Here is a 12,732-nt window from a genome sequence, read left to right as displayed (position 1 = left end):
AGAGTTAAAAATCAATAGAAACAAAAAGTCATAGGTTTTGTTCCAATACTCCAGGAACATCACAATTTGGATTCTATAGATGTGTGTAATATAATGTGTAATATTACATTCTGACAACCTCAAGTTGAAAACTGCACAGCTGAAGATCACTTATAGTCAATAACACTTTTCAAACTTTAATTTTAAATTCATCAAGTCTCTCCCTAATGTAACATACTTTTTAATAAAGGAAACTGTCAGAGATGCTATAATACAGAGGAAAACGTTTATATACTCTTTCATTATAATTTTTCCACAACTTCCAAAATGAAGAAAAAGACATGGAAACATTAAGTTCAGAGAATAATTGTGGCAGACAATTCCCTCCTCCTGAAAGTTCAGTTACCCCAACACAGGCATAATTTCTTACTGTCTCAAAAGGAACTGAATTCACATATAAAGACAAACGTGGGATTTTGTTGAGTTCTGTTGGACACAGAACACAATTGCTCAAGCACTGGTTGGGCACTTGTATTCTAATAGCTCACGGTTACTGAGCACTCCATGTCTGGGAAGAGCCAGTGCTGGGTGCCTGGCATGCATCCTTGCACCTCATCAGCACAACTATCCTATGGGCTCATCCTGGTTCACCTATTTTATAAATGAGAACACTAACATCAGAGAAGTTAAAAAATTTGCCTAAAAACATCCAGAGTAGGTTTCATCGTTGCCCACTACTTTATAATGCTTTCCCAAGGGTACTGAGACGTTATCAAAACATGTTAGTGAAACAGTCTAAAACATCACAAATTTTAGGTTTAATACAAAATACCCAGAAAATGGCAGCATTATTAGAAATCTCAGCATAATGTAATAATAAGAACTTATGATGATTGTATTCTTTTCCTATTTTTTCTCCCGTACAGGCATATGAAAAACCATAAAACTTATTTTAGGGGTGTGTGTGTCCATGTAGTTTCAGGATAATATAGTAATCTAAAACATTTTTAATATGGCAAAGTGTGGCAATACTAAATTTTTAAAAAGGATTTTTATTTAGCAAACAGAAAGCAAAAATGTTGTCCAAGAAACATGCATTTATTTTATCCCTAGGAATGTACCTTTCCTTCTGCAAAGGATGTGAGATCCTGGCATGCAAATGAACATGAGGATACAGTATATTCAATTCCTTAAATTCTAAAATTGTCTTAGCATTTAACATCCAACACACTAAACAATCTTTTTTCATATTCAATAAAAATAAGGACAAATTCAGTAAATTCAGATGGGCTATTTTATCACGTAAATTTTAAAAAAGCAAGGGTAATTTTTCAACTGATTTTCTTTTACCCTGATACGAGTCAATGAGAAAATATGAAATTGAAACATATCACCATTTCTCAGTGTTTACAAGTGGTAAGTCACAAGGAAAACCTTCCAAGGTCTTCTGTGTTGTTTTTAAAAGGTATTATAATCACATAATTTGGGAAACAATGTGTACTATTATCAAGAAACCTTTCATATTTTGTGAAATGAAGCACTTCCCAAATTTAAGAGACTATGGAAACCTTTTTCAGACATTTTTTAACATCCTCAGAAGTGGAAATTCTTGTTAATGCTGATCTGATCAATTCCTCCAAGTATATGGACTACTTCTTTGCAAACTCCAAGCCCCCAAATCAAATTACCTGTTCAACTGTATCTGAAAATCAGTTACATAAAAGCATCAGAAAGTGTTTCTCCCAGCAACATAGACCCAAAACACACTACAAAACAAAAATTATCAAGAACATACAAAAGACATATTTTTTCATGTATTTATTTATTTTTTGAGATGGAGTCTCACTCTGTCACCAGGCTGGAGTGCAGTGGCTCGATCTTGGCTCACTGCAACCTCTGCCTCCTGGGTTCAAGCAATCCTCTGCCTCTGCCTCCCAAATAGCTGGGATTACAGGTGCCTGCCACCACGCCCAGCTAATTTTTGTATTTTTAGTAAAGACGAGGTTTCACCATGTTGGCCAGGATGGTCTTCATCTCCTGACCTCAGGTGATCCACCCACCTTGGCCTCCCAAAGTGCTGGGATTACAGGCATGAGCCACCAAGCCCGGCCACAAAAGACATACCTTTTCAAAGCCACTATTACCTCTCACCTGGACCATTATTTCTCACTGATCTACCTGTCATAACTCTTGCACCTAATCATCTACTTATATCATAGGAGAGTGTTCCTCTTAAAATATAAATAAGATCATGGTGTTCTTCTTTTCAGGAACATTCAATGGCCTCTCATTCCATTGCTATTAAGCACAAACTACTGACACACCACCTTATGGTTGTGTGAGATATACTGAGCCGTCCTTCTTGTCCTCACATCTCTAATCTTCTCACCTTCTGACTGTCCCCTCTGCTCACTCTGTTGGTCTCCACAACACTCTTCAAACATGCTCAGCACACTCTCACCCAGAGCCTTTACACTGGCTTCCTCACTGTCTGGGATGCTCTTCTCTCAGGTAATCAAGTGGCTCACTCACTCACCTCTTTAAAATCTGTGCATATGGACCCTAAACACCCATCTGTACTTCCAATTCCTTTTTTTTTTGGAGACAGAGTCTTTCTCTGTCACCCACGCTGGAGTGCAGTGGTGCAATCTCGGCTCACTCTAACCTCCACCTCCCAGGTTCAAGCAATTCTCCTGCCTTGGCCTCCCAAGTAGCTGGGATTACAGGTGCATGCCACTGAGCCCAGCTAATTTTTGTATTTTTAGCAGAGAACGGGTTTCACCATGTTGGCCAGTCTGGTCTCGAACTCCTGACCTCAAGTGATCTACCTACCTTGGCCTCCCAAAGTGCTGAGATTACAGGCATGAGCCACTGTGCCTGGCCAGGCAATTCCTCTTTATCAAACTTTATATTTACCATGGGCCTTGCCAAACACATTATAATTAACTGATTTTTTTTAAGAGTTGGGTTACCTAACATTAAAATATAAACTCTATGCAGAGAATTCTACCTGCTTTGTACACTGATATGATTTCCAACATCTGACATACAGTAGGTATTCAATTAATTCTATTGTCTCAAAGCCGGCTGCAGTGGCGCATGCCTATAGTACCTGCTACTTGAGAGGCTGAGGCAGGAGGATCACTTGAGCCCAGGAGTTGGAAACCAGCCTGGGCAATGTAACAAGACACTGCCCCTTAAAAAAAAAAAAAACTATGAAATAAAATGTAATGGAACAGAAATAATTATCGCTTCATTTCTGAATCAGTTGAAAATAAATAACCGCCCCAAAAATGAGCAAACCTACAGTAATCCTCTTTAACTCATATTGGATTTTAGGTTACTATTAAAATATTTTGCTATCTCAAGAATTCAGCAGGCTGAGCAGAGCAGATGGCTTGAGCCCAGGAGTTCAAGACCAGTCTTGGCAAAATGGCAAAACCCCATCTCTACAAAAAAATACAAAAATTAGCCAGGCGTGGTGGCCCGCATCCATGGTCCCAGCTACTCAGGAGGCTGAGGTAGGAGGGTCGCATGAACCCAGTAGGCAGAGGTTGTAGTAAGCCAAGATCATGCCACTGCACTCTAACCTGGGCAACAGAGCAAGACCCTGTCTCCCAACCAAAAAAAAAAAAAAAGAATTCAGCTGGAAAAACCTTATATTTACTTTGATTAAGAAAATGTTTTTAAACCAATACTTTATGATGCACACTGGTGAATATGAAGTTATACCTGAAGTAATATTAAATGACAGCTTTTCCATTTCTAGAATGTATGCATCAACTACCTTAACTTAAACATGGTATTATCCAAGCTCACAGTATCTGAGAAGGTTTGTGTCATTATCTAGCAAACTAAAGTCAAGCCCTCTGTAGTTCCCCACCTGTGATCTTCAAAGATATGGTGCTCCTTGAGATTTCTGTAAGGTAGGTCTGTTCTAAAATGTGTGAAAGGAAGAGAACCCGAAAAGGCAAGGTCTAAGAAGATCACTCATTTGGAGATGGCAAGGGTCACATCGGGGTTATCTAAGTCAGTGTGATTTACCCTTTGGTAAATCATACACATATTTCAAAAGTTACTTTATATGCTGTAATTCTTGCACTAATTTCATGGAAAATAAATTAGTATTACCTCGACTATCATCCATATCACCATCCCTTGAATGTTCTGATTGGATGTCTGGAGGGGTCTGAAGGACGGCCACGCTATTCTGATTTATAATCTTCAATTTCAGTTTTGGTTTTGACAGTTTTCTTCTTGGAACTGTAACTGTGAGGCTCTGTAACTGAGTCATCCCTGATTCAATCAAACACACATCATCCTGGGTATAAGTCTTGGGTGGGTCTAAAATTACAAAATCCCAAGAATACAAATTTAAACTTTCATTTTAAATTTGACTGATTACTGTTCCAAAATACCCATATCAAGGGAATGTGACTGTAGTTCTAGAAAACAATTATGTATCTATGAAATGCATGAATAATTAACTTCATGATACCCAATAAAAACTAGGAACAATAGGTCAAACTTCCTTGGATTATAGGCAGAAATGTTACATGTTTTTAAAAAATGGTCTTCCTGGGCTGGGTGCGGGGGCTCATGCCTGTAATCCCAGCACTCTGGGAGGCCGAGGTGGCAGGCAGATCACGAGGTCAGGAGATCGAGACCATCCTGGCTAACACAGTGAAACTCTGTCTCTTCTAAAAATACAAAAAATTAGCCGGGCGTGGTGGCGGGCACCTGTAATCCCAGCTATGCGGGAGGCTGAGGCAGGAGAATTGCTTGAACCCGGGAGGCGGAGGTTGCAGTGAGCCAAGATCGTGCCACTGCACTCCAGCCTGGGCGACAGGGCGAGACTCCGTCTCAAAAAAGTCTTCCTGGCATTTCTTTTTTCATGTCCCAATAAAAAGAGTTAGAAGCACTGCAAATAAATGCAATGCTCAGCTAATCCACTATGAGCTTTTTCCTGGAAAAGATCAAAAGGCAGGGATCTATTTACACAAGAGGAGAGAGAATACTCCAGAAGCTCATCTGGAAAAATCAGAGTATCAACATAATTACTAACAGGGAGAAGTAATAAATAAGTACAAATCCTGCAGATTTAATTTTAAACATACAAAACTGTTGTTCCTTAGAACAATTCCTGTACTATCCAAATGTTTTTGTATCAGGTGCTATTAAATACAAGTATTCAAAAGAATGACTGTTTAATAAGAATATCATATTAATCACCATACTAGGCTTATTAATTATTTTAAAAAATTAAGAGATTGAATTAATTCTAAAAGAAATCTGCTTGCTAACTAGGCCGTATTTTCTGCTAACTGATAATTAAGCACAGTAATATATCAATGAAACCAAAGCAAGTATGGCATTAATGGTTATTCTAAGAGCTGTTATTTTTATTGCCAACTTGCTGAAATTTATAGGAATACTGCCCCAGTAAAGCTGGATGACATTTTATATATCATTGTGGAAATGATTACCAACATTATGGAATTTGGATAGAACACCCATATGATTGAAGCAGATTTTAGAAGTGGTAAGCCAATTATGTAAAAATTAAGCAAAGTAAATTAATTAAATTAAGTAAAGCATTTCAAATTTTACCTAGCTTTTTTACTTTTGTGACAATTTGTGCTACAAGTGAAGATCCACAGCAGTCTGAGGAAGGCACTGAAATGAAAAAAAAAAAAATCCAGGTAATTCTTTTCAGAAAAGGTAAAGTGTATTTACATACTTATATATGATTAAAATTTCTGTTTCTATAGTCATTTTATTAAAATAAATGTTTGAACACTAAAGTTAAAAGCACTTTTTAAAGCAACAACAAAACAAGAAGTGATGAAGGAAATACTCAAGTCATGGAGGAAAACCTGGCTAAGAAAGAATCAACACATTGGATTTTGACATATTGTCAATAACTACAAGATCATGTTCCTTGGAAGCAAAATTATAGTTTACATCTAAAGTATATGCTTTTTATTGTTTCATGTAAATTGTTTTATAACAAGTTGTGATAAGTCATGTATAACCAACAATAATATTTTTCATAAAATACTTGTCAAAGTAAGTTTCACAAAGACAAAATAGAGTAGAGCTAAGCTAATTCATTGGTTATGGACAGTAAGGTGCAAGAGAGTGGTACAAGAGTGCAGACTCACAGTTTAAATTATTCTGTTACCATTAGATGCAGGCATATAGGGTCTGCACATGTTACAATCAAAACCAATGTCTGCTACATTTTCCACTTCTTCCTCAGTATTTAAGTTCTGACGAACTGCATGCATCCATCTAAAAAGACCATATTTGTACATTTTTTTTTAAAAATGGAATATACTGAGAACTGCTACCTTTTAAAACCTGTAACACTGAGTCTTCAAACTTAAAAGCCCTAAGCCTCACATGCTCCTCCTACCTTGCCCTTTTCTCCTAACTATCCCTAGTAACAGAAAAACTTTCATAGAGCTAAGGAGGAAATAAAAAGGAATGAGAACAACTATTAGAGAGGAAGCAAAGCACATTACATAAGGAAGCTAATTATTTTATCATCATATATTAAATATTTCAAAGACAGCAAGGAAGCTAGTTAGGGCAAACACAAAGGTATTCAGAAAACTGCAAATGGCAGTGCTAGCATATATGGGCTCCAGGCAATGCATCTCACTTGAAGTAGACATATCTCATGGAAAGCGATGTTGAATGGTAATTGGGAAATAAAGTAAAAAGTTGTCTTGCAATGGAACAGATAATTAGTAGCCAGAGTCCCAAGAATACTGTACTACTGATAAAATAATACTATCAATATATGTTCACTGCTTAACTTCTAAAGAGTACAACAATATACCAATGAAAGCAAGGAAACATTCTTGATTTTGAAATTCCACATAATTACGTAGGGAGGGCAGAAGGTGCTATCTAATACCTAGATATCTAGTATCTAGAGCTTTAAGAGAAAGTGGTTTAAGGAGAACAGAAAGTGTTAGATATTTTTATAATCAATTAAAAGATTCAGAAACCCTTCATAAGAAACGGCATAGATGAAGGCAATAATTCTCCATCTAATTTCAAGGGATTCCTAAACCCTCAAAAAGGCCTAAATTAAAAATCTTTAGTCTTGGGTGGACACAGTGGCTCACGCCTATAATCATAAAACTTTGGGAGGCTGAGGCGGGCAGATCACAAGGTCAAAAGATGGAGACCATCCTGGCCACCATGGTGAAACCCTGTCTCTACTAAAAATACAAAAATTAGCTGGGCATGGTGGCATGCACCTGTAGTCCCAGCTACTCCGGAGGCTGAGGCAGGAGAATCGCTTGAACCCAGGAGGTGGAGGTGGAGTTTGCAGTGAGCCAAGATAGCGCTGCTGCACTCCAGCCTGGCGACAGAACAAGACTCTGTCTCTAAATTTAAAAACAAAACAAAACAAAACAAAACAAAACTTTAGTCTGGAGTTGAGAATTCAAAACAGGAAATCAATTCTGTAAGATTCTAGGTGACTAAAAATCTACAAGGCAAAAAGTTCTGTACCTAAAACTTGTGATTAAGGAAAAGCTATTTTCCTTTTTTTTTTTTTTTTTGCTACATTTCAAAGAGAAAAGCTTTAAAAAGATGAAAAAACAGCACAATACCTATCACATTGTCTACATTGCAGAATAAGATCTTCTTCTCTATAGTTTCAATAGCAGACTGGACAGGAAGATAAGCTTGCACAAGGAGCGCACTGTGTGTAATTGTTCTGCCATTCACATCTTAGACCTGCAGATGTTGCTCCACAGTGTCTGCACCAAACACACCTGAAATCCAAATCCCCCCGAAAAGTCTCCATTTTATTTTCTTAGTTATTCAGTAACTGTAATTCAGGAAGCTACATACGAACATAATGGGGCAAATGATTTAATGTGTATGTGAAAATTTTTCTGCTTAGTGGTATGTATCATAGAATATGTGTATTATTCAATTAAATAGGTATGGCTAATTTTTAAAAACTAAAGTGGTATGAGAAAGCTCTGAACTTGAAAGACTAACAAGGCAAACAAACCCTAGAGAACCATTTGCACTTCACTTCCAGCCTCCTTTGGGAACTGTCTGCAATGGAGGGTCTAGGCAGTAGGTGTGATAACTTATGTCACAATCATCACACAGCAGGAGTCTTCCTGGGTCAGTTGCCTTCCCACAGGCCTCACAAACAGTGCACTCAAGACACCTCCAACCTTTGCTAAGAACCACTTTAGTGATCTGTAAAAGAAACAACCAATCCATGTGATTTATGCATTAACCTAACATAATCAAATATACTATATAAATTAATATGGTGCTTATGTACCTAGAAGCAGAAAGGGGCAATCAACTAACATTTATTGAGCACCTACGGAGGCCCAATACTGGGTTGGGCATGTTCATACACGCTTTTAGGAGCCTACTGAGCAGAGTAATAGACAATGGCACATATTTTAATGCCTTTTTAAAGTCCACATAATTACCTTATGCTGTACATTTAATGTCCACTATATTTATAGATATAGTGACCAGATTTTAAAGAAATCAAGTAAGCTTCACTATTATTGATACATAATTGAAAATACATCAACAAAATCTCCATCTACATTTCCATGCTTAGAATCAATAGAAAAAATACCAAAAAAATTAATGTAAAGCATGAGTTCTTAGGGACATTTTATGATCTTAGAGGATTTCTATTTAGACTATGAAGCTAGGAATTCTGAAGTTCACATTCACCCCTCTGTTTATTCTCCCCTCTCTCAAGGGTATAAGTTAGCAGAATATTTGGGAATCTCCAAATCCCTAACAAACAACTGAAGGAAGCCACACCATGTAATATTAAGATTGCGGAACTTCTTAAAGATCTCAAAAGACTAGGATCCTCAGACAGAACCAATCAAGTGCCCACATTATAATGAAACAGCAAGTAATGAGGGTACAGAATAAAAATTCAGATCATGAGGTACATGAAAGCCTAAAAGCTACCAGAGAAGAAAATAAAAGAGTTAAATTCAAAGGAACACCCATCAGAATGGCACAAAACTTCCCAACTCCAGATGCTAGAAGAGTATAAGTTTCCAATTCTACAGGAAAATACTTTTCAAAGTACAATTCTCAACCTAGCTACACAAGCAACTATGTGTGAAGACAGAATACGTTGTAGACACAGGAAGATTCAAAATTCAGCTCCTTCATTCTCCTTCTAATAAAGTTACTTAGAGATATGCGGAACAGAATGAAGATGTATTACAAAGAAAAGGAAGACTTGGGATCTATAAATCAACAGATCCAACAAAGGACATCAGGCCAGGGAAGTTTAAGGATGAGAACAACACACCCAGAAGCCACTGGCACATATCAGAGCAGGAGAAGGGAATGTCTAGAAGGAGGGTAGGACTTCTCCCAGAAAAAAACAGTACTTTAAAAAATAATCTTATATGATAGTTCTATAGTAGGCAAACACAAAGAACGAATGGAGAGTCACTATTACTTTCTTGTTATTAAAAACTCCATGAAAGACAAAAGAAACTCATAGTATACTGTTTAGATCTGCAGTGAACATTTACTGAGTCATAACCAACACCTTATTAATTGAACTAAACATAGTAATACAACTATATTGGGAGAAGGAAGGAGGTGTATTTTAAGACCTAAATCAGAATTTATTTATTCATAGCAGAAAGTCAACAAAATCTAGCATTGATAAAGCAGTAAACCAGTTGATTATTTAGAGCTATAGCATTAACCACAAGAAAAAAGACCTGAAAAGATTAAAAGTGATTGCCTCAGATGTGGAGGTAGAGTAAGACAAGAGTTGGTTGTTCATTACAAGGCCTTTTTTTTTTTTTTTTTGAGATGGAATCTTGCTCTGTTGCCTGGGCTGGAGTGCAGTGGTGTGATCTCAGCTCACTGCAACCTCCGGCTCCCATGTTCAAATAATTCTCCTGGCTCAGCCTCCTGAGTAGCTAGGACTAGAGGAATGAGCCACCACACTCGGCTAATTTTTGTATTTTTAGTAGAGATGGGGTTTTACTGTGTTGGCCAGGCTGGCTTGAACTCCTGCCCTCAAGTGATCCACCCGCCTCGGCCTCCCAAAGTGCTGGGATGACAGGTGTGAGGCACCACACCCGGCCCATTACAAGGCTTTTAATGTCATTTGATTTTTAAACATGTATATTCATTATTTTGATTAGCTTATTGATTTTTAAGAATTTGTCTTAGATTACCAAGTTAGTATATTATTTGCCCAAATGAAGGAAATGGCCTGGGGTAAGATCAGGGTGGCTTAGAGCAGTAGCCAGCAAATATTTTCAATAAAGGACCAGAGAGTAAACAGAAAGTTTTGAGGGCCATATGATCTGTTGCAACTTTATAAAAACTCTGCCAGTGTATTGCAAAAAGCGCTACAAATATATGTAAACAAAGAACATGGCCATATTTCAATAAAAGTTTATTTGCAAACACAGGAAATGGGCCAGATTTAGTCTATGGGCCAGTCTGCCTGACCCTGGCTTAAACAATGACCTGAAGACAAAGTGGCAGACAGATCTGAGGTGTTTAGTGGTAGAATTTTTAAAATATTTATCTTCATTCCTACTAAGTTTTCTTCACAGATACCTGTGGTCCCTTTTACAACCAAACTCTCAAGTTTCTCCACTTATATTCACTCTTCAAAACACTACAGTCTGGTCTCTACACCCACATCCACTCATAACTGCTTAAGCCAGGCTTGTCAAGACCTTCTTATTCTCAAATCTAATGGAAACATTAGTGTTAGTGTTTCTTGACTTCTGGTACTTCAACGCTTCAACAATTTCTCCCTCTTTGAAATTTCCTTTTAACTTAGGTACTGGGGTTGTACTATCATTTTTTTCTTCCATTGAACCAGTTTAGCCTTAGTTTTAAAAGTTTTTTCAAATAAGATGTCATCCAGGATTCCATCCATGGTACCATGTCCAAAGTTGTTACAGATATGTTTTATAATCTAATACTGATACATGCTTCAATGATAATGGAGTAGATGGGACCAGCCTGTTCTCCCATAAGATAGTAGAAAATTGGACAAAGTGTATGAAACAACTGTTTTCAGATATTGGACAACACATAGTAAAGGAGACAGTGGTCTCTGAGAGGAAGGAAACACTCAGGGAGTCCTATGATATTCTGCCTAGAAACATTTTCCAGAACGCTGCCCAGGGAGGGAGAACCTCAGCAGAGTAAAATCAATGGCCTCGCTGAGGTTAGGGAAGGCGAGGCAGTGGAATTTGCAGGACACAGTACTCAAAATGAAGAAGCAATAAGGACTAAGAGCTCCAGAAACCTACAAAGGATCCCCTGAAGTCTTTGGTGGAACACCAAGCCGTACTTCTAGAAGCCCAAAGACCCACAACCAGGGGAAAGTACATCTACTGGGAATTTGTAAGCTGCACAATTACCAGAGCTTGCAAAAGGCTCAAAGACAAGTGAAGCACAACCAGTCAGAGTACAAAGACACTGGTGAACAGGGGGTAGAATTCAGTAGTGATCCCAGAAAGGCCAAGTCTTAAGTATAGGGTTAAACTAATGCTAGGACTGCAGCTACCAAAATGTGGACTAGGGAACCCCAGTGGGTCTGTAAAGTTAAAACAAATTTAAATAATACTAAGATTTAATTTGCCTTTTTTCACTTTAATTTATTCACAATGATACAGTGGTGTTTATAGAAGCTACATGTTGTATCATAATATTACATTGACATTGTACAGGTTGTGCTTCTGTAGTCTTGTGTTACAAAATGTTCCTAGTTTTAATTTCTAAAATGCTGAATAGTCCATAGTTAAAATCCTCATGAACAAAAACTATGGCGTCCCCAGTAATTTTAAAGAGTGTTAAGGTTCTAAAACCATAAAGTTTGAAAATATCCACCTTAGAGTGAAGGCTTTCTAGACTTGCCCCAGCAAGCTTAAAAAGAAGCTTCAAAGGTATCAAACTTATCCACAAACAATTGCCTCCTGCAATAAAAATGCAAGCTGAGCCAATTCACATATCCCTAGTATATTTCTAGATATTGCTGTATTTCTCAATGAGACTGCAGTATTCTATACTGTCCAAAACAGTGTCGTGTAAAAGGAACCACACATAATTTTTAAAAACAGGAATAACTAGGTGTCTGATAGTGCACTAATTGTCCAATCTTAACTTATGTAAGTCGTACTCATCTGTAAAATGGGAATTCGGTAATTGTTGGATGGGTTAAAAGAAATACATTACTACCTTGAAAGGGATCTTATTCAATTTCGTTAGGTCCAAAACATTAAGTATTCTAAAAAACAAAATCTAATGATAGCAGCTACTTTTATACAGAATATAAAGTACAAAGAAGAAAAGAAACATGTTTTATGCATATATAACTCCATTTTTAATTGGCTTTATATACTCTGTGTTTTTCAGTCACATACCATGAGCAACTAATTTTAAAAAACTACATAAATTAACCGTACTAGTCTTCTATTTTGGATAGTATTAATTACAATCTTTCATTTTGATTCCTAAATTCACAAAAACCTGTATTACCCTATAAAATAAATACTAGTGTAGTTATCAACAAAGAAGTCTGAAGGAGATAATGTTGATTTGCTTACTATACTGACATTTTACTGACAATGATATAACACAGTGATGTCTGAAGGGCAGGGGAGAATGGTATAAAAATCACTCATGGTTCACAACCTATTATTGAAACTGAGGTTAGTATTTATATTACATGGTATG

At 37.1% G+C, this 12,732-nt stretch overlaps 1 pseudogene across 2 annotated transcripts in view, besides 1 other annotated feature; it reads right to left on the bottom strand.

Annotated features, from left to right (window-relative positions):
- The window catches only part of BAGE2 (BAGE family member 2 (pseudogene)), a 104,778-nt pseudogene that overhangs the window by 13,145 nt on the left and 78,901 nt on the right, over nt 1–12,732 (bottom strand). Inside the window, exons 10-11 of one of the 2 annotated variants that reach the window (NR_169269.1) lie at nt 5,590–5,655; nt 4,111–4,323 (exon numbers count right to left, since the gene is read on the bottom strand). The exons of the other annotated variant lie outside the window; for it this stretch is intronic. The product of NR_169269.1 is annotated as a BAGE family member 2 (pseudogene), transcript variant 1 (transcript). The remainder of the gene's footprint in view (nt 1–4,110; nt 4,324–5,589; nt 5,656–12,732) is intronic. 2 annotated transcript variants of the gene reach the window in all.
- Nucleotides 3,542–3,688: a silencer, noted in NCBI's record as "fragment chr21:11010869-11011015 (GRCh37/hg19 assembly coordinates)". NCBI's record gives its function as "represses an EF-1alpha promoter that drives an FKBP-Casp9 reporter gene in an ReSE screen in K562 erythroleukemia cells {active_cell/tissue: K562}" and the evidence as "EXISTENCE:reporter gene assay evidence [ECO:0000049][PMID:32094911]".

This window comes from Homo sapiens, chromosome 21, assembly GCF_000001405.40.
Source record: "Homo sapiens chromosome 21, GRCh38.p14 Primary Assembly".
Lineage (NCBI taxonomy): Eukaryota > Metazoa > Chordata > Mammalia > Primates > Hominidae > Homo > Homo sapiens.
This window is presented reverse-complemented; position numbering and strand designations above follow the sequence as displayed.